The 22,290-nt window shown below is 37.1% G+C and overlaps 1 long non-coding RNA gene across 1 annotated transcript in view, besides 1 other annotated feature; it reads left to right on the forward strand.

Annotated features, from left to right (window-relative positions):
* The first annotated feature begins 432 nt into the window (after positions 1-432).
* Positions 433-22,290, forward strand: part of LOC105374317 (uncharacterized) — a 64,310-nt gene continuing 42,452 nt past the window's right edge. Inside the window, exon 1 of the long non-coding RNA XR_002959373.2 lies at positions 433-567. This is a non-coding gene — a long non-coding RNA (uncharacterized LOC105374317). The remainder of the gene's footprint in view (positions 568-22,290) is intronic.
* Positions 5,276-5,476: a silencer, noted in NCBI's record as "peak3614 fragment used in MPRA reporter construct". NCBI's record gives its function as "represses an SCP1 promoter by STARR-seq MPRAs in K562 erythroleukemia cells {active_cell/tissue: K562}" and the evidence as "EXISTENCE:reporter gene assay evidence [ECO:0000049][PMID:32103011]".

Consider the following 22,290-nt stretch of genomic DNA (forward strand, 5'->3'; position numbering starts at 1 on the left):
GTAGGGAAAGTGGGAGTAGATTTGCTATCCATTGGATTCTAATACGATAAAATACAGTTTTCTTTCCTCAAATTTAAAATGCCCGATTTTAATCTCATAAATATCTATGCCTTCCGAGTTATGTGATAAAATTAAACTAAACTCTAGTAAACATCATTCTATATGCTGCAATATGAATAAGATATCAGTTATTTAGGAGTGGGAGTCACTAATATGTACATGGCAATTTCTGATTAACACTGACAGTATCAGAGCTGTTTTCACATTAGATTAAAATAGTAATTTAGCTGCTTAGTAAATGATTGAATGCCAAGAGTGTTATATAATCTGTTCACTAGGAATTAGTAAATGTTGCCAAGTATGAATGATTCATTTCCTTAATAACACAGGAAGTACCAGGCTATAAGTTTCCATTAAGGAGGTTTGGTCAGGACTGGACTCAGCACTGGCACAGAGGCAGCACAGCTATGTGGGAAGAACACAGGCTGGTCTGCAGGTGTCTAGATTTGGATCCTAGCTCTGTTACTTACTACTTTGTGACTTTGAGCAAATTCACGTCTCTGAAAGGTCAGTTTTCCTTCTGTAAAATATCCCAACTTCTGTTGTAGAATTATTATTATAAATAAATAGTAACATATATATAATAGTAACATATATAAATAGTAACATATATGTATATATATGTGTGTGTATATATATGTGTATCTATATATGTGTGTGTGTATATATATATATATATATGTATATAATGTCTACCTGTATTGTTGCTAGGGGCTGCCCTGGACTATGTTTATTACTTTCTGTTGTACCTAAGATGGCATTTTTTGTCCTCAAAAAAAAAAAAAAAAATAGTACTCTTTAGGGAGAGACCGGAAAAAAATGGTGAGTACTGTCTTTGTTCCAGGATTTTACAGGGAAAGATGAGGCAGCTTTATATTATATTGTAGTCAGTTTAAAATTTTTCTATTGTTTGTTTCAATGATGAAAAAATCCAAAGAAAAAACCTAGAAAGAAAAATCAATAGCTTTGTACAAATATAGTATGACAATTGAGAACAACTGGTTTTGCTGTTAAATGTGTCTTAAACTAGGAAACTCAGGGTTTTGTCAAATGGTATCAGAATGAGAAACAGACTTAATTTTCTTTTTGGGTCCAATGGCTACATATGTTCTTCAACAGTTGGAAAGCCACTGTATCCAGGTGAAGTAATTTTGCTCAGGAATTAATTGAAGATCACGGAGGTACTGTGAAACCAAGATATAGAAGAGTCAGTTTCAAATGGTCTTTTTTAGTGAACAACAACAGCAAAATCTGACAACTACCAAAAAAATTGAGATGGCTGTAGCCTGTGGTAGGGAGAGCAAACAGGATGGATGAGCAAAACCACAGTAGTTTGAGTTTTATGTGAAGGTGATGATAAATAAGGAATATTAATCTCTATTTTCAGAGAAGCCCTCTCATCTCATGTTTGTTCATGGGTACATTGTTGTTCCCAAAGACTGCCCGTTATTACTTTGTTATTACAATCATGTAGTGTATACAGTGGTAGTACTACTATGTGCACTGTGTTTTTGTGCATAATAGGCTTTTAATTTGTTCTTTCAATAAATATTCATTGGATACCTGTTATGAGTTAGGGGCTGACAGTACAATGGCAAAGAGGCAGACAAAAATCCCTGCCCTCATGAGGCTTAGATTAGAGTAGAAGAAAGCAGACAATAAACAAATTAAGAAAAGATTTAGTATGCTGGAAGATAATAAATGGCATGGAGGAAAATAAAGCAGGACAAAGGGATAATGTGTGTGTGTGTTTGGGGGGATGGCTCATTCATTGAGGAGGTCATATTAGAGCAAACATCTGAAGGAGGTCTGTGAGTTAGTTATAGTGAGTGTCTGGAAAAGGTGGAGGCTTCGATATAGAGAGACCAGCAAGTGTACAGGCTTTGCATGGGCTTTTGAGTGGTCTCTCGTGTTTGAATAATAGCAAGGAGGCTAGTGTTCCTGGAGCAGAGTGAGTGAGGGGAGAGGAAGAGATGTCAGAGATCACAGGGGGTCAGATCATAAAGACCTTCTAAGCCTCTTCTAAGTTCGTTACTTGGAGCAAAATAGGAAGCCAACACAGGGCTTTGAGAGAAGACTGATATGATTTGACCTATTTTTAAAGGTTCAGTGTAGCTTCTGTACTGAGAGTAAAATATAAGGGGGCTAGAGAGGAAACACAAAGACTAATAATCCATTAAACAGAGCTAAGTTAGTGGGTTGCTCACTTGCTTCCTTATAAATGTTGTGCCAGAGAGAAGATTAGTGGCAAATACCCATTAAACCTCTGTGAGATTGGAAGGGTTGGCTTCCTCGAGGGGAACGTGAGTTTCTTTTGGCAGATAAGGAAATACTCCTCGGTGATACAGAGGCGTCCTTTCTCTTATTAGTGGTGACTTGGTGACAGGAAAGTGAAGTTGCAGGCTCTGGCCCACCTGAATGTTTCAGATCTATTTCTGGAAAACAGGTATTAGGAGGTATGCAAGGAGCCTCTTTCTATTATTTCAACTTAAAAGTTCCCTAATTGGATTGAGTTCAAGTTCTGTGTCATGGTTCTGTTTTGCTGGGAGAAGCTAATAAAGAAGGAAGCTGCGGATTCTTCGTTGTAGGACAAATGGAGTGCAGCAATTAGGCAGTACTGTCCCTCCACTGGACAAAAGCCTTAAGCAGCTCAGGCAAACACCAAACAAAAACCTGTCACATGCACACAGATGTAGATGCCTGGTGAAATCTTAGAAAATGTATTCACATTTATTCTCTGGCAGTAATATTCTTTTCACAAAGCATTCCACACTATGATAGCTGTATCATTAGTCTGATAATCTCAAGTTAATTCTCTGTTGCTTTTTATATGGTGTGCTCAGTGTATTGGTTTAGAGAAAAAGGCTGAAGAGCTTAAAGAGATTGGTCTAAGAAATTGCAGGTTAGCTGGGAAAGGAGAATAGACTACCGTTAGAAAAACGTATAGTTAAATCCAAAGGGAGCGATTGTCTTTGGATAAATGGATTTCTACACGTGTTCAGTAGATGGTGAGTAATTCCCACGTGTTCCACCCTGTGCTAGATACATGGGAATTCAACAGGGTGTCTGCCCCAGAGATGCTAATATCTCTTAGGAGAGATGATTACATTGACACATGACACCATATGAACAATTTTCTGTCCAACCTATGGGTGGTATGGGTGGGGGGATTCTTAATGAGTCTTTCCCCTAACAATTAGCCATATATCTTTACAGTGGAGACCAGATATAAAGAAACAGTAAACACAGCAATTCAAAATTCAATACTAGCCATTCCTTTATGTCTAATATCAGATGACCCCTTCAGAGCATTTTGTCTTATAATATTCTGCACCTATAGTTTTGTTTTCTACTTCTCAATCAAGTAGCTAATAAATATCAGGGTACCATCTAGCTGTCTTAAAATGCTATAGCTTCTTTCTTAATCATTCCACATTATTGAATATTGGTTGGTATATAACTTAGCATAGAACTGGTGGTTTTGTTAAGCACAAAATTTCAGTGGCTTAAAGAATGCAATGAAAGTCTATTTCTTGCTCATTTAAAGGTCTGGTGCAAATGTTCGTGGTTTCCAGGTAACTTTCTTCCATGTGGTGATTCAGGAACCTAGGATGTTTCCACTTGAGGCTCTACTGCCCCCTCAGGTCTTGGAGTCTTCTGTGTTCAGTCAGCGGACGGAAAAAGAGAGTAGAGAATAGATAGTTCCTACCTGAGCAGTCACTTCCTCTTCTATGGGAAGAAAGCACTTAGCTGATCTTTGTATGTATGATTTCTATTTTTTGTAAGTTGCCAATGGCAGTACTTTTAAATAGCTTTGCACAAATGGATTTTTTTTCTATTTTAGATTAATGTATTTGAGATGTATTTCTAGAAGTAAGTGTATTAGATAGGTTTTAATTATAAAATTATATTGAATTATATTTTATTTAATACATCAATTAAAATCATAATTTATATACCTGTAAAGTTATTGGATATGAACCATCTCACTTCATTATTGTTCAGGCTCAGCTGAAGAATATCTTTGCTAGCCTATATCCAGGATAATGAATACCATGAGAAAACAGCCATATTATATTGTCATATTTAACTGAAGAAAACGCTATTGCTACTATACTTTATTCAACTCAAAACATGAGTTACCTAATTTAACAAAAGAGATACACATACTGATAGACTAAAATGATTTTACCAGTATATGTGATTTGAAAAGAAAATTAGAACATATGTCTAATAGTCTTTACATTCCTTTTGTTTATTTATAGACAGAAGAAGAAAGATATGATTTCAGGCTTCTTAATTTAGACTGAATCTGCCCCAAAGCAGGAAACATTCTTCCTACACACATTAAAAGTTACTATTTGGAGGCCGGGCGCGGTGGCTCACGCCTATAATCTCAGCACTTTGGGAAGCCAAGGCAGGCGGATCACGAGGTCAGGAGATCGAGACCATCCTGGCTAACACGGTGAAACCCCGTCTCTGCTAAAAATACAAAAATAAATTAGCCGGGCGTGGTGGCAGGCGCCTGTAGTCCCAGCTACTCGGGGGGCTGAGGCAGGAGAATGGCGTGAACCTGGGAGGCGGAGCTTGCAGTGAGTCGAGACCGCGCCACAGCACTACAGCCTGGGCGACAGAGCAAGACTCCATCTCAAAAAAAAAAAAAAAAAAAAAAGAGTTACTATTTGGAAAAGGTAATCCTTTTCATAACTTGAGATGAAACCAGATATGTGAATGAAGTTGAGCAGATCACCAATATGAGGGATTTTCATTTTGTTTTGTTTTGGTATTTCTGGCATAATTAAAACAAGACTAAAGGCTGAGACTGGGATCTATTTTGTGTTAACTAAGATAATAAAAAAAAACATTGCTTTATAGTAAAAATTAAGAAGTTTGCATAAGAAACGATGGGGTTGGAAAAATTTCTACCAGAATTATTTTGGGGAAAAACACCCCAAACATCTCAAATATTTGTAGAACTCATTCCAATTTATAAAGCTCTCTCTACTTTGACAAGCTATATCATTAAATAACTACAGGTGGAAAGCATATGGAAAAATGTTCTCATTTGTTAGTTATAAAATGTTTTCATTGAATTAGCAACCCTCCACAAATTTGGTAGGGCCCAGAGAATTCAGAGACACTCTTGAATTACTGGGGGGTGTTGTAGAGTAGTACTGACTGAAGATGTTCCCAGCACATAGCTAAGTGCCTGACATGCACTGTGCTACCTGTGAACAATGGATCTCATCCTCACAGTATCTGCAGGGCCCTTGAGGGCTGCCACATGGCAATCAACAATCCATCATGGCTGCTTCCTGCATGACTTGATGTGGCGTCTGATGAACATGAGCCTTGACAAACTTCTCTCACTCTGTTCAGATTGCTGCCCATCTGCCAAGACCTCCGGGTCTGGGACTGCACTCCACTTAGGTCTCTGTTTCTGGCGTTCCTCACATTTATGTATTTATTTTTCCCGTCATTAATATTTCTTTTTAAATAAAGTAGACTATTTTACTGCTTCTTGAATAGTATAGTATTCTTCTTTTAAGTTATGGCATCTTTTTGTAAATACTATGTGGTTCTGTTTTGCTTTGTACACTCATTCTTGATTAAAATGATATTTTTTTCAAGATCTAACATTTGCTAATACCCAGGTTGAATGATTTTTCCTAGTTCTCACTACTTACTTGTTCTCTTTTAAAGTCATCTTTAAGATAATTTTTCAAAGTTGAAAAAAATTAATACATACGCTAATAAGTAATTAAATTAGAACAAGAAGATCTGTCTGCTTGATGCCCACATCCACCATTTACTAGCTGCATAAATCTGAGCAAATTACTTAACTTTTTTAACAATCTGGGAAATAGGGATGAAAATATTCATTTCATAGTGGGTTGTGAAGATCAATGTTAAAGTCATATAAGAACGTGCTTTACAAATGGTAAATTGCTATATATAGATGTTAATTATTATTGTCAATAATGGAAGATATATTAGCACTTTTTCCTACCATATTTTGGGATGGAGAGTGGGGAGATAGTTTCAGCTACTTAATGTCTATTTGTTTATTTATTTATTTAAACTCAAGTCAGAATTTTTCTGAGAACTATGGAAAACTTGAATATACATGAAGGAGAAACCTTTGAACCTTGTGGTGAAAAAGTGAGAGGAGGCAGTGGCAGAGAAATAAATGGAGAAGATCTTTTATTAAGAAATTGGCTTCTCAAGCCACACTTACTTACAGTTCTTTGTATATCTTTCCAGAACTATTCCATTCACTGTGAACTATGTGTGAATCGCTTTTGAAAGAGTCAGACACAAATGCAAGCATACCATATGCTCTACTGCACTTTATGCACTGGACAATATCTATTTGAAATCACTTTCCATTCATAGGAATCTGCTTCATTCCTTTTTAAAATTATTATTTAAATACATTCAATTGTGTATATTTAAGGTATACAACATGATGTTATAAGTTACATACAGGCAGTAAAATGATAACTATAGAGAAACAAATTAACATATCCATCATCTCACATAGTTATCCATTTTTGTGGTAAGGGCAGCTAAAATCTAATCAATTTGCAAAAATCCCAGATACAATTTTATTAATTGTAGTTCTCCTTTTGTTTATTAGATCTCTAGATTTGCTCATCTTACATATCTGCTGCTTTGTATCTTCTGACCTACGTCTTTCCATTTCCTCTCCAACCCTTCACCCCTGGTAACCACTGTTTAATTCTCTATTTCTGTATATTTAGCTTTTTAAAGATATATTCCACATATGAGTGAAATCATGCAATATTTTTCTTTTAATAGTTTCATGACATTCTTTTATGTGGATATAAATATAGTTTATAAAAAACAGCCTACTTGATATATTATTAAACATTTTTTATATTATTAGCACTGCTGCAATGAGTACCATATACCTTAGCTTGTATCTACCAATATAGAAATACGATAAATACCCAGAAATGCTGAATTAAAGTGCCTGGGTGTTTTACATTACGACATGTGTTGCCAAATTGCCTTTATTTACTTTCATTTTATAGAAATTAGAACTTTGTTACATATATTGCAGTTTTTCATTTTTCAATTTGTCCTGTAATTCTGTTTATATTTTTTCATTTAGAATTTTAAAATATTTGTATATAGTTACATTTCTTGATTTATTTTCTTTTATGATTTTCAGGGTTTTGGTTAATCTACTCCAAAATGTTTTGTTTTTATCATTTTACAGTATCATTTTCTAAATCTTTAAATCTTTATTTACTGGTTTTCATAATGCGCTATAGTTATGTAACGTGTCACTATTGGGGGAAATTGAGCGGTGGGTATAGAGGACATCTCTGTATAATTTTTGTAATTTCTCGTGAGTCTATAATTATTTCAAAATAATACATTAAAAGGTAATAAGGTAAAGTAAAAGGTGAAAAGCATTCTAGTTTAGACGTGCCAAAGGAAAATTCAGCAACCCTTGCCTTCTATAAGTGCTCAAAGAAGACAACCCTTTTGTTTTGAGTGCCAGTGGGATCTGCTGGGTTTTCCAGTAGCATGCTCTGCAGTAGTGTGATAACAACAGAAAATAGCAGCCACTGTGCATCTGGGTAGCACTACTACTAATTTTCTTATTCATATACCATTTCACAACTTCCCAGCCTCTTTACATAAATATTGTCATGTAATTCTCTTAACAGCCTTGTGGAGGTCAGTGTTAGTATTTGTGCTGTATGTATGTGGAAACGAACTCACGGAAGCTGAGTGACTTGTGTGTGGTTCCAGGTATTTTCAAGCAACAGAGTTGAGGCCCTCCCCGAGGTGGGGCTGCTTCTGATATGATACCACAGTGGCCTTTGGCCTTTGGTGACTCTTTATTTTAGGGCAGGAAACGACTCTGCTCTCTGCAGTACACAGCTGGTTGACCTGATAGCAGCTGCACAGGCCCTGCTGAGAGGATTGCCATAGGATGAAAAGTGTGGGGGGAAGGATTGCAGAGACAGAGAAGGACATGGCCAAGAGGCGGAGTTGCTGTGACCCTTGTTAACATGACTGAACTGCAGTCAATCATTTGAATACCTACTTTGTCCAAGATTTATGCTTAGCATTTAATATATATTATTTTATGTGTGCTTGATAAACTGTTTTTAATCTCCATCTTGTAATTGAGGAAACCAAAGCTTAGAAATAGTAAGCAATATACCCAAAGAACATGGCTAGATGGTGGCTGAACTCAGATCAGAACTCTGGCCTTCCTGATTCTTGTAGGTTCAGAGAGAAAGGCATGAGTAAAATAGGAATAGATAGGTTTATAGATCCTTTTGCTTCCTTTCCAGGAAACTTGACTACATTATTTTATTAACTTGCATGTGACAAATGAGATCTGAAGAAACTTTTCTTAGGAGTTATCACTTTCTCCCCAGAAAGACACAGTGGTCCTATTGCTACCACCTTTTCTCTTGCCCTCACTCCAGCCAGGCAGCAGGCTCTACACACTGTGCTTGCTGCTGTTGATTGCCTTTGGCCATACATGCTTAGAGCTGTGACAGTGCTACATGCATTTTACAAGGCCTTGTTTTCTGAATTTCAGCCTCCTATCCTTCTTGTTTTTATAGATGATGACTGTATTTTAATGGAATCTGAGAGAGTAGACTGAAGAAGTGCCAAGCCTGCAATTAGGCGCAATAGTTTAGTGACCTCTCCTGTGCAAGAATTGTAAGGCTCTGGAGGATAGGGGCCTCTTGTAAAATAATGCATTCAGATTCAACAGACATTTACTAATAAGCATTGCAATGTGGTAAACCCAGTGCTAAGCTCTTTATATCTGTAATCTTTGCAACAGTCCTGCAGTGGAGGTATTATTTTCATTTTGCAGATGAGGAAAGTCTGAGTGCATATGACTGTCCTAAGATCGCATCTCTTGTCACTGACAGGGATAGGATTTTGACTCAGATCTATCTGATCCCAAGGTCAGCTCCCTTCACAGAACTGGGGGGTGAATCCTTGGATGTGCAGGGATACTTACTAATTGTAGGTGCTTTAATTATTTTAATCTGGGAGTTTTCCTTTGCTGAATCCTGATTACCTAAAATGCACGGCCACTGATGAAGATCATCTTTTCAGCTACATGGTATGTTGCCCATTGGTGTCTGAGCAATTTTTCTTCCTTTTAAAATATCTGCTTGTTATTGCCACGGTTCCTAGGCCATCCATGCTCACTGCACTCCCCTTGTTTCCTCCTACATCTCTAGCTGGTAATTTTCAGTCTTATTTGCAAGTTCTTTAACCTCATTGGGGTCCTTTCAGTGTTGAGGCTTCTCCGGGTTTTGTTTTGGACCTTCTCTTCCACTCTACACACTCCCTTTCACCATCACACTCCCCTGGCAATCTTCTTCATTTCAATTACACCTGTAAGTGACAGTGTTCACAACTATTCATCTAGACCCTATGTTTCTTTTGGGCTCCAGATCTATGTATTATTCAGAATCTCATTGGGATGTGCCATAGACGATTCAAATAGCCCATATCCTTTCCCTACTTCTATGATTGCATCATTCTTGAATCCTTCTTCTTACATTCAACCAATCACCATGTCCTAGTGATTCTACTAAATATTTAGCAAAACCATTTTTATTCTAACTTTACTGCCAACCCCAGAGCAGGCTGCTACCATCTCTGTCCTAATTTTTCATGCCTCCAGACTATCTCCTCTTTGAATTCATCTCCATACTACTGACAGAATGTTTTTTTGTTTTCAAAAACCTAATTATGCTTATTCTCTGTTTAAAGATTTTGCGATAACTTTACATCTCTCTCAAAGTGAAGTCAAGTTCTTAATATAACCTACAAGGCCCTCAGTGTCTGGCCTCCTGTCTCACTTTGTTATTTTCATCCTTTCCCTCTTCCTCTAAACCAGCTACTAATGTTTTCTGACCTCTTGGTAGTCTGGGATAGGGTCCCTTCTCTGGGTCTTGCTTTCCTTTTTAATAGCATTTATCATATGGAATTATAACTTTTTACGTGACTGCATTCCCCCACCAGACTGTAAGCTGCTAAAGGTCAGAGACTCTATCTTGTTCACACCTATCCCCAACCAAGCACAGTGACTGGCACATTGCACGTACTCGATAAACATGTATTGAAGTTCCTTTTTATAGCCCTTAGCCCAGTACTGTGTAAAATCAGGCACACAGTGATTTGTTTCTATTTGGAATCTGTAATGAAAATATCAGAAGATTCAGTCATGTAGAAAACAAGAAAACCTCTCTATTTAACAGTATTTTTCTCCTGTTTATTACATTTCCTTAGTGAAATATAGGTGGTGCGATAAAAATAATTATTATATCACATAAAGTGCAGCATCTAGCCCACCTTTACCGTACTTTAATCTTGAAATTTCTTGCAGATCAGTCTGAATTTTATATTAAAGAAAATTCAGAAGATCAAGAACAAGTGACTTATTTAAACTGCAGAAATTGATTTCAAAGAAATGATATTATAAATTTAGCAAGAAGTAAAGCATCAAATGACTTAACTGATTTACCTTAACTGATTAAAATATGCTCAGAGCATGACTTCTTAATATACGGGTCAAATATCATAGGGAGAGTTTTCAGTGTTCATGAGAAATATGACTAGAAATTAAAATCACCTTTTTCAAATTAAAAAAAATGCACGCTGCCACTGTAGCACAGGAGATGAGAGTCATCAGCCAGGTACAAGTGTTGTGAGCATCTGTTTATGGAGAGAGGGAGGATGTAGGGCAAAGGTTAATGATGTTCTTTGGGCCCAGGAAGAAACCTCATAACTGGATGGTGCCTTGATTTCTCTTTGTCTATCTCAGGTTTATTGCAAGCATCAATGAAAGGACAATTGGGAAGAAAGGCACAGAGCATTAATTAATCTAGAATGCAGATTAAGAAAACTCAGGAAAATATAGTCCAGTTTTGAGCATAGCTGGAATTGGGGGGTAGTTGTAAGATTTGCTTCAGTATTATTATGGTGCTTTTAAAGTAGAAATCAGCAGATTTGAATTATTTCCACCTAATTGTGAAGAACCCCCTTTTGGGTTAAAGTGATTGAGTAAAAAGAGGTAGAAATGTGATGTGTTATGCAACAGTTGAATCCTAGAGCTGTTCAATGGTGTGACAAATGAATAAAGGAGTGGGGGAATTGGGCCACTGGCAATGGAAGCCCCCTGAGCAGCTACTTGTAGGGTGACTAGGACCCTGTCTTGGGACCCTGTCTTGAGACAGATACAAAGGATAGGGTAGGGTAAGTTGAAGGATGAATAATAGAACAGCAAATAAAGTGGAGTAGGAGAAGGACTTTTGGTCACAGAAGATTCAAATAGCCTTCAGGTTCCTCTTTCTCTTCCTGTTTTCTTTTCTTTTTTTTTTGACTGGCCCAGTGACTTTTGGAGTCACACACACTAGCACAGAACCTTTGCCATCTCCCAGACACTTGCAAACAGAAACAGTTGTATTTCCAACCTGCTTCCTGCACTTATCTAAACTTTGAAAGCTCTGTGTAGTATATGTCAGTATCATGATGCCAATTTGACAGATGAAGAGAGGGGCTCAGGGAGGCTAATGTGACTTGCCCAAGGTCACTTAGTGATTTGTGTCAGAACAGGGACTGCCACCTCTGTCTCCTTCCCCTGCTGCTTTGTGAAGCCACATGCTGGTGGAATATGTGACCATTATGTACTATGTGTTAGTAGGATTGATACTGCCCTTCATAACCCCAGGATCCCAGCCAGAGTTTTTGACAGCTTTTGGTCAGGTGGAAAACTGGGAGGAAGATCTAAACAATTTGTTTGCCTTTCTCTTCGATTATTTTTGGGAGAGATTTTGTTGTGCTTCCCAAGGAGGCTATTTTCCATTATAAATGATGCTGCTTACAATAAGACTAAAAGCTTCATTAAGCTAAAAAAAAGAGGAAAAGGAAACAAAGTAGCTCACATATCAGTATTGCATGGAAGCAGTTCTGAAGAATACATTAAAGATAATGAGTATTAGGCTACTTAAATTATTTACAAGACTTCAAAAATTATAATATGTTGTCTGGAAATAGAAGTTGGTTCTCTGCCACATTCTAGTCAGTTTCCTAGACTGTAGAATGATTGGGTATTTTCTCTGGGACCCCCACACTCAGGTCTAAAGGGGGTCCCTAAATGATTTTAGCTGAGGTAAAATGAATGGGCTTCAGTAAAATCCCACGTACTTGTGTGGAGGGTCCAGCCTTGTCCCCTACCACACTTTCCCCTTTTCTCTTAGAAGTCATCAGCTCTGTACCATTCTAAACTTACTCTGAGGATTGAAGGGCTCATACCTCCTGTAGGCAAAGATGAAGTCAAAAGAATGATTATTTAATGGCAGAGTTTTAGGCCGTGCTCTACCTAGATCTATAATTCAACCTAGGTATGAAGGATCATCGAGTTGCCATTCCTCTTCTGTATGATTTGCTTCAGAAATAATTTTCACACCTGTCACTCTTGTCTGGGTCAGAGAGTTGCAGCCAAGATCACATTTTAAAATCCTCCTGAAGAGTACAGTATAGAGGAAGAGGGCTAATCTGGGAGTCAGGAGACTTCCCTTGTCTCATTAACATTAGTAACTCACCACGTAGCTTTAAGGAAGTCTAGTCTTCTTTCTGGACATCAGTTTCTACATCTGTAAAATGAGTTTTATACCATGTTGGAAAGGATTGTTGGATTAGATTAACTATTAGGTTCATTCCGTGGAGCTTTGGTATAGAAACATGGGACTTTATTAAGATATATTTCAAATGTACAGAATTGTGTCCTTGAGGATAATAAACAACCATTACCAATATTAAAATGTTGCCATCTTTGCATCTGATTTTAATGTAACAAAAACTTTTGCTTGAAGCTGGAGGATGCTGGGCACCCACATCTGATCTCATTGTACATCCTTCTTTCTTCCCTTTCTGAAGGTAATTACTATTTTAAATTTTGTGTTTAGTATGACTGTACATGGGTTTCACAGTTTTCAAAATATGTATATATTCCTAAACAATACATAGGATTGTTTTTCATGTTTTCCAACTTTACGTAAATGACATTATATTGACATACTATTCTGCAACTTGCTTTTTTGCTCAATATTCTTGCATGTATTATGATTTTTATTATTGTAGAGCTACTTCATTTCTTTTATAATGACTACTACGGTATATGATATTTCATTGCACAAACATACACAATTTATACAGCCATTCTTTTACTGATATACATTTGCATTGTTTTTAATTTTTCACGATTCCAAACAATACTGCAATAAACATTCTTCTGTAGCAGTCTCTCTTACTGCATGTATGTGAGTGTTCTCTACATATAAAGCTGGAGGTGGAAATTGAGTAATTGGTTGTGTATATCATCAGCTTTACCAGAGTTACATAATACTCGAAAGTAATCACTTAAAACTCTGACAAATAGTATGTAAGATTTCTGGTTTCTTTTCGTCATTGCAAACACTTGACATTGACTTGCTGCTTTTGCCAATCTGTTGTACTTAAAATTATTTCTAATTTTTGTAATTTATGTTTCCCAGAAGACTTAGAAATGAAGTTGAAACTGTGGTTGAGCATTTTTCCATATTTTTATCGGTCTTTTGGCTTTCCTGTTCTATAAGAAATCTATTGGTATCCTCTACTATTTTCTTTACTGGATTGTTTGCATTTTTAATATTGCTTTGTATGGGTTCTTTATACATTGTGGATATATATTTCACAGTAGCATGTGTTGAATGCTTCTGCTAGTCTGTAGCTTTTTTTAATCTTTGTGACATTTTTGTTTTTAATTTAATCGGTGTGACAGATTGTATTTTCCAAAGATAGCCACAAGGGTGTCTGCTGTCCAACAGACTCTTCTAGAACTTTGCCACTCCCTCAAAAGATGGAACCTATGTCTCTTACACAGAAAATTGGGAGAGACCCTGTGACTGCCTTGACCAGTACAGTTTGGCAGAAGTGTTGTTAGGTGACTTCTAATGCCAAGTCACACACAAAAATGCTATTTCTGCCAGGTTATCTTGGAATACTTTGTCTTGGAATTCAGCCCTCATGCTGTGAAGAAGTGCAAGCGGACTACGGGGAGGCTGATGAGGCAAGGAACCAAGGCCCCTGGTCTGCAGCTCCAGCTGAGCTTGCAGCTGCCAGCCTGCATGAGCTCTCCAGCCTGTGAGAGAGCCATCCTGACAGAGGGTTACCCTCAGTCAAGTAGCACTAGATGTGGAGAAGAGACAAGTCATCCCTGCTTACAAGGCCTACTTACACTGCAGATTTGTGAGCATAATAAGCCATTAAGTTTTGGGTGGTTTGTTAATAAGTAATAAATAATTGATAGAGCCAGATATATCAGTCTTATCTGTTACTGTGTCTATGTGTTATCTGTTACTGTGTCTATGTGCATGCATACACACGCATGCATGTATGTTCTTAAATTCTTTTCTATAATACCTCACAGCCATAAAGGTATGGATTTATCTTTTTATCTAAAAGTTTTAAAGTCCCACTCTTATCTTTTTAGTTTATTTAATACCGACATGAATGTATAGTGTGAAGTGGGGACATAATTTTTTCCGTGTAGATAAATAGTTTTCCCAACACAATTGGCTAGTCTAACTATGGATTTTAGTGCTACCTGTGTTCTGTATACATTTCTGTATACTTGTTTTTTGTTTGTTTGCTTATTCCTGTGCTAATATCACATTGCCTTATTTGCTGTAGCTTTAGAGTCAGTCTCCACATTTGTCAGGACATGCTGCGTTATTCAGTCTTTTAATTCACAATTATTGTGATAACTTTTGGCCTTTTCTTCTTTAATATAAATTTTAATATTAGCTTGTTGAGTTCTGCAAAATATTCTGTTGACGTTATTGATAGATTAATTTGGGAAGACTTGTGTATGGCTACATTCACTTAGAATTTTTCTATTATAAATGGCATATATAAATATTACATTTGAATTGTTGCTATTATCAAGGAATACTTTATTTTTTCATTTAGGTATGATTTACATGAATAAAATAGACCCATTTTAAGTGTGTGGTTTGTTGAGTTTTGAGAAATGTATAAATTCCTGTAACAAACATCTTTATCAAGACCTCACTCTCATCCCAGAATGCTCTCATCCCTCTTTCTAAAAAATTCTTTCCCAGCCAAAGGCAGCTACTGTTCTGGGCTTTATCTGTGTAGAGTAGATTTTTCTCCTCTTGATCTTCATGTAAAATAAATAATTCAGGGTGTATTTTGTTCAGTGCAGTTTCTTTCCTTCATTACAGCTTTTGTGAGATTCATCCATGTTGTCGATAACAATAGATTTTTCTATTTAACTAGTGAATAGTATTACATGGTATAAATATGCCACAATTTCTTTATACTCCTGTTTATGGGCATGTGGGTTGTTTTCAATTTGTGACTCTTATAAATAATTTTACTAAAGATATTCCTCTACAAGTCTCTATGTGGGCATATATTTTCATTTTTTCTTGAGTAAACACCTGGAATGAAATTGCTGGGACATAGGATAGGTACTTATTTAACTTTGAAGAAATTGCCAAATTGTTTTCTGAGTTGATTTTACTATTTAAATTCCCACCAGCAATGCATAAAAGTTTAAGTTGCTCCACCAACATTTGTGCTGTTAACTTTTCAGATTTTCAGCATTTTAGTGAGCATGCGGTAGCATCAAATTAATAGTTTAAATTGCATTTTGTTCTTATTACTGGTCACATTGAACATCTTTTTCTGTGCTTAAGTGTCTTTTCCAAAGTTTGCCCATTTTAAAATTTGGGTTATTTGTTGTTTTATTCTTGAATTGTAGGCTTAAAAAATACTATGTTCTGGATACCAGTCTTTATCAGATACATTTATTGAAATATTCTGCCACTTTGTTTTCTTCATGTTGTTTTTCAAAGAGCAGATCTTAATCAGTTGACGGAATCCTATTCTTTTAGAGTTTAAGACTTTGCCATGCTATCTAAGGAATTTTTGCCTATTCCAACATTATACATGTTTTTTCCTATATTTTCTTCAGAAAGTTTTAACATTCTAGCTTTTTATGTTTAGGTCTCTGATTTACTTCTCACTATTTATTGTGTGTATGAGGTGTGGTAAGAATCAAAGTTCGTATTTGTTTTAAATGAATATCCAGTTCTTTCAGCATCATTTATTGAAAAAAAGCATCCTTTCAAATTGAATTACCTTGGCACTTGTTAAAAATCAATTGAGCATGTATGTATATATTTTTGGACTCTGCATTCTATTCAGTATATCTGTGTGGCCATCCTTATGCCACTACCAAACCATCTTGATTCCTTTAATTCTGTGTTAAGACTTGATAAAAGGTAGCATTAGTTTTCCAATTTTGTTCCTTTTAGAAGTTGTTTCGGCTAGCCTAGGTACTTTGTGTTTTGATGTAAATCTAAGAACCAGCTTCTCAATTTCTATTCCTACCCCGAATATTAAACTAGCTGCTTAATACATTTTGCCTGTGTTCTAGTTGGTTATAGTGAGTGTGCAAGTTCTGTGCCATCCCCAGAATGAAGGTGTGCTGATTAAGTTTTATGTGTCGACTTGGCTAGGCTACAGTGCCCAATTGTTTGGTCAAACACTAGTTTAGATATTGCTCTGTGACTATTTTGTAGATGTGATGAACAGCACAACCGGTTGACTTAAAGGAGATGACCCTTGATAATGTGGGTGGGTTTCTCTGAATCAGTTGAAGGCCTTAAGAGCAAAAACTGAAGTTTCCTGGAGAAGAAGAAATTCTGCCTTCACACTTTTACTCCAGCCTGCTGTACTGCTCTGTAGATTTCGAACTCAAACATACAACTTTAATCCCGTCTGAGTTTCCAGCCTGCCTGTTTGCCCTGCAGATTTTGGACTTCAGAAATTGACTGATGTAGAAGGGAAAGAAAACTCTTACTTTTTAGTCATTCACATTTCATAGTAAGTTTTCCCATTGACTTACTATTACGATAGTGCAATGAGCCATTAATTGATGGCAAAAACCGTGATTACTTTTGCACCAACCTCATATTAAGTGTGGCGTACATCTGAGGGAAACTTGAAAGATAAGCTTATATAAAGAAGAAAAGTAAGAAAACTTCATGGAAACTCCCCAGAAAGGGTAGTTTCTTGGTGTATGGAGCTACGGTTAAGAGTGATTGAAAATACATCCTCTTGGCAATGTGCATTTTACTAAGCATTTCACATAACTAATGATATTGCCTCTTTATGCATTGATACCAATTCTATGAGAGGCCCAGTGCTCGGAATACAGATACCCTCCAGGAACTCATGGTTTAATGAGACAGTCATATAAGCAGATAGCATGCCATGAGTGCTATGAGAGGGCTAAGTGAAGGTTACCGTGGGAATACTTAAGAGCCGTGGGCCATCCTTTAATTAGTCAAATACATGAAATGAGTTATTAGAAGTAGGAGATATTCCAGAAAGCAGGGAGCTGAGAAGATGGCAGAAAGCTTCAGCTTTGCCCCTGCGTATAGTGGACAGGACCAGGCCTTGTAAAGCTGGAGTAGCTCTCTGGAGGATGGGCTATATGTCACAGGAACCCTCCACTTTCTCACTTGCAAAATGTAGGATCTTCTTGGCTGTGGATAGTGTCACAGTGAGATGGCCCCAAGAGATTTATTTCCCTTGGGGAAATATTCCTTGCTTATGTGTGGACCTGCAAAAAAAAGTCCGTGCCTGCCTACATACATATGTAGATACTTTGCATAGCAGAACTGATTTAGCACAGCTAGGAAATTCTAATGAGACAAAACTTGTGGTTAGGATCTCACCAACTACATCTTCCCCTGGCAGCCATTCCCCATGGATTAATGAATGGGCCTTGGAGATGGTATCCCTGTGTTTTGGGGATGCAGTTGATGCTCTGAGGGCTGTGCTTGTGCATGCCCCTCACTTTTTGCTTCACTTTTTGCTTAGTTTACAATGGTGCATTTATAAGAGAAAATGAAAACTCAAGCCTGGTGTTGTGTTCCTAAAATCTTTGACTCAATTTCGAACTTGGCTGTCAGCCATGATGTAAAGATGATAAGCATCCTCAATAAGGATTTTGCAAATAAGAAGTAGACTTTCACTGGTGCTTTTGTGGCTCAGTTTCTGAATTTCTCATTTTTTAATTAGTGAGAAGTGGCAATGAGGAGCATGGAGAATACCTATTATTTCCTGGTCCAGAAGTGTGAAGAGTGTGGGAAAGTAAATAGCCATCACATCAGCCAATTGTAAGGAACAGTGCCTTCAGGGGTAAGGCAGATTTCAGGTAGAGGGAGAAGTCATAGGGAATACTCACTAAAAGGGCTGAGGATATCAGGGACGATGCTGGACTGCAAGTTCCAGATGGCCTGTGTAAGGGAATTGAGAAGGGGTAGAAGATGGGGTCAGACAATAGGATTTGAAGAGCCATAGAGAGATGAGGGATGACATGGGAGATTTAGGCCATTAACCCAGTTGCTCATCCCAAACCTTGGAAATATCCTGTTAATCAGCAAATATTGTTAATTGTAATCTTAACATAGATCCCAAATCCTACTTCTTACCTCTTGTACTGTGACCTCCTTACTCCAAGCTGCATTTTCCCCTTGCCTGGACTTCTAACTTGTCTTTCTTCCTCCACTCTTGCCTTCCTTCTTCTTCTTCTCCATATAGCAGCCAGAGTCTTGTTTTTTAAAGAAACATAATCAGATTATGTTTTTCTCTTTCTCAGAGGCCTCCATGGGATTCTCATCATGCTTAGAACAAATTCAAATTCTTTGTTAAAAACATTTATTTTAGGTTCAGAGGTACATGTGCAGGTTTGTTATGTAGGTAAACTAGTGTCACGGGGGCTTCTTGTGCAGATTATTTCATCACCTGGGTACTAAGCCTAGTACCCAATAGTTATAGTTATTTTTTCTTATCCTCTTCTCCCTCCCACTCTCCACCCTCAAGTAGGCCCCAGTGTCTGTTGTTTACTTCTTTGTGTCCATGTGTTGTCATCAGTTAGCTCCCACTTATAAGTGAAAACATGCAGTATTTGGTTTTCTGCTCTTGTGCTAGTTTGCTAAGAATAATGGCCTCCATCTCCACCCATGTTCCTGCAAAGGACATGATCTCATTCTTTTTCATGGCTGCATAGTATTCCATAGTGTATATATACTACATTTTCTTTATCCAGTCTACCACTGATCGACATTTAGGTTGATTCCATGTCTTTGCTGTTGTGAATAGTGCTGTAATGAACATATGCATGCAAGTGTCTTTATGATAGAATGATTTATATTCCTTTGGGTGTATACCCAGTCATGAGATTGCTGGGTTGAATAGTAGTTCTGTTTTACCTCTTTGAGGAATCCCCACCCTGCTTTCCACAATGGTTGAACTAATTTACACTCCCACCAATAATGTATAAGTGTTCCCTTTTCTCTGCAACCTTGTCAGCATCTGTTATTTTTTGACTTTTTAATAATTGTCATTCTAACTGGTGTGAGATGGTATCTTGTTGTGGGTTTGATTTGGGTTTCGCTAGTGATCAGTGATAGTGAGTTTTTATTCCTATGCTTGTTGGCTGCATGTATGTCTTCTTTTGAAAAGTGTATCTTTATGTCTTTTGCCCACTTTTTAATGGGGTATTTTTTTTTTTTTTCTTGTAAATTTGTTGAACTTCCTTATAGATGCTGGGTATCAGACGTTTGTCAGATGCATAGTTTACAAAGTTTTTCTTTCATTCTGTAGCTTGTCTGTTTACTCTGTTGATAGTTTCTTTTGCTGTGCAGAATCTCTTCAGTTTAATTAGATTCCATTTGTCAATTTGTACTTTTTGTTGAGATTGCTTTTGGCACTTTTGTCATGAAATCTTTGCCAGCTTTTATGTCCAGAATGGTATTGCCTAGGTTGTCTTGCAGGGTTTTTCTAGTTTTGGGTTTCACATTTAAGTCTTTAATCCATCTTGAGCTGATTTTTGTGTATAGTGTAAGGAAGGGGACCAGTATTAATCTTCTGCATATGGCTAGCCAGTTATCATACCACCATTTCTTGAGTAGGGTGTCCTTGCTCCACCACTTGTTTTTGTCAGCTTTGTCAAATATCAGATGGTTTGTTATTATTATTATTATTATTATTATTATTATTATTATTATACTTTAAGTTTTAGGGTACATGTGCACAACGTGCAGGTTTGTTACATATGTATACATGTGCCATGTTGGTGTGCTGCACCCAGTAACTCGTCATTTAGCATTAGGTATATCTCCTAATGCTATCCCTCCCCCCTCCCCCAACCCCACAACAGTCCTCAGTGTGTGAGGTTCCCCTTCCTGTGTCCATGTGTTCTCATTTTTCAATTCCCACCTATGAGTGAGAACATGCAGTGTTTGGTTTTTTGTCCTTGCGATAGTTTGCTGAGAGTGATGGTTTCCAGCTTCATCCATGTCCCTACAAAGGACATGAACTCATCATTTTTATGGCTGCATAGTATTCCATGGTGTATATATGCCACATTTTCTTAATCCAGTCTATCATTGTTGGACATTTGAGTTGGTTCCAAGTCTTTGCTATTGTGAATAGATCAGATGGTTTTAAATGTGCAGCCTTGTTTCTGGGCTCTCTATTCTTTTCTGCTGGTCTATGTGTGTGTTTTTGTAACAGTACCATGCTGTTTTGGTTACTGTAGCCTTGTAGTATAGTTTGAAATTGGGTAGCATGATGCCTGTCACTTTGTTCTTTTTGCATAGGATTGCCTTGGCTATTCAGGCTCTTTTTTTTGCTTCCATATGAATTTTTAAATAGTTTGTTTTAGTTCTATCAGTAATGTCATTGGTCGTTTAATAGGAACCACATAGCATCTGTAAATTCCTTTGGAAAACATGGCCATTTTAACAATACCGATTCATCCTATCCATGATCGTGGAATGTTTTTACATTTGTTTGTGTCATCTCTGATTTATTTGGGCAGTGTTTTGTAATTCTCATTGTAGAGATCTTTCACCTTCCAGATACCTACCAAGTCTTATATGGACTTCTGTACTCTGGCCCATAGCTGTCTTTCTGGCCTCATTTTCCACCATTCAACTCAATTACTGCTTCCATGAGCCACACCAAGCCCTATGCCCTCCTGATTTGGGGAGTCCTTGCCTCTCCTATATCCTCTATCTTAAAGGCTCTTCCTTCAGATATTCATGTGGCTCATGTACTGATTTTGTTTAGGTCTGTCCGTCTCATCTGAGAGCTTATCCTTGGCCACCAGGCTAAAATAACACCTTCTTACAATTCCCTATTTCCTTATCCTGTTTGACCTTTTTTCCTAGCTCTTGACATGACAGAACACTATATTTGCGTATTTGCTTGTATACTGTTTACTCCGACTCTCTCCTCTCTTCATGAAAGTTCTATGCAGGAATTTGGTCACTGCTGAATTCTTATGCAATAAACAGTTTTTGAAAAAAATGAAAGAATGATTGAATCTAGATTTGATAGTGTTTCCTAATATTTATATTTTAATTCTATTTGAATCTTGTCTCATGTCAAGGAGCTCCGTATGGAGACTCTTCATTTCTTTGCTTGAGGGACCGTTTTCTCCTTTGTTATTTGACTGAGATTCATGTCTATCTGTGATTATACATTATCCTGTATTTCAATTTTTATCTTTCATTACTTCCCAACTGGAAGCCACTGATTACATATTTGCCTTGTTTATTTTTACTGCTAAAACTTTGCATGTCTGTGCCCCTACTTGCAAAATCTCTCTGGGACCTCCTTCCCTGTTGAATTTCCTTTCATTACAGATATAAGATAGGCAAGGGGGAGAGGGTTGAATACTTTAGGATAATCTTAAAGTGAGGAATGCCACAGGTCTCTTAATTCTGGTACTCAAATCTAGTCTCTCCAGTAGGATTTTTAACTATGCAAGGCACACCTCTTTATGTGGTAGGTTTTATAGAGCAGAAATAACTTTCATTCAATTTGTATTTTAGAGATTTTTTTTCCCATTTGCTTAATATCTTAATGCACATTAGACAGGGAAGGAATAAAAGAACTTCAGGATGGGTCTAACTTTGGACCATAATAGCCTACAAAAACCCCAACATTGTTCCCCTAGATATTGGCAGTGTTCCCCATAAGCCTCATTTTTCTAGAAAGACTGAATAAACTGATCAGATGTTACCCATGTGTGCCCACTATAAATATGCACAACTCTGT

The sequence above is a fragment of the Homo sapiens genome, chromosome 2, assembly GCF_000001405.40.
Source record: "Homo sapiens chromosome 2, GRCh38.p14 Primary Assembly".
Taxonomy (NCBI): domain Eukaryota; kingdom Metazoa; phylum Chordata; class Mammalia; order Primates; family Hominidae; genus Homo; species Homo sapiens.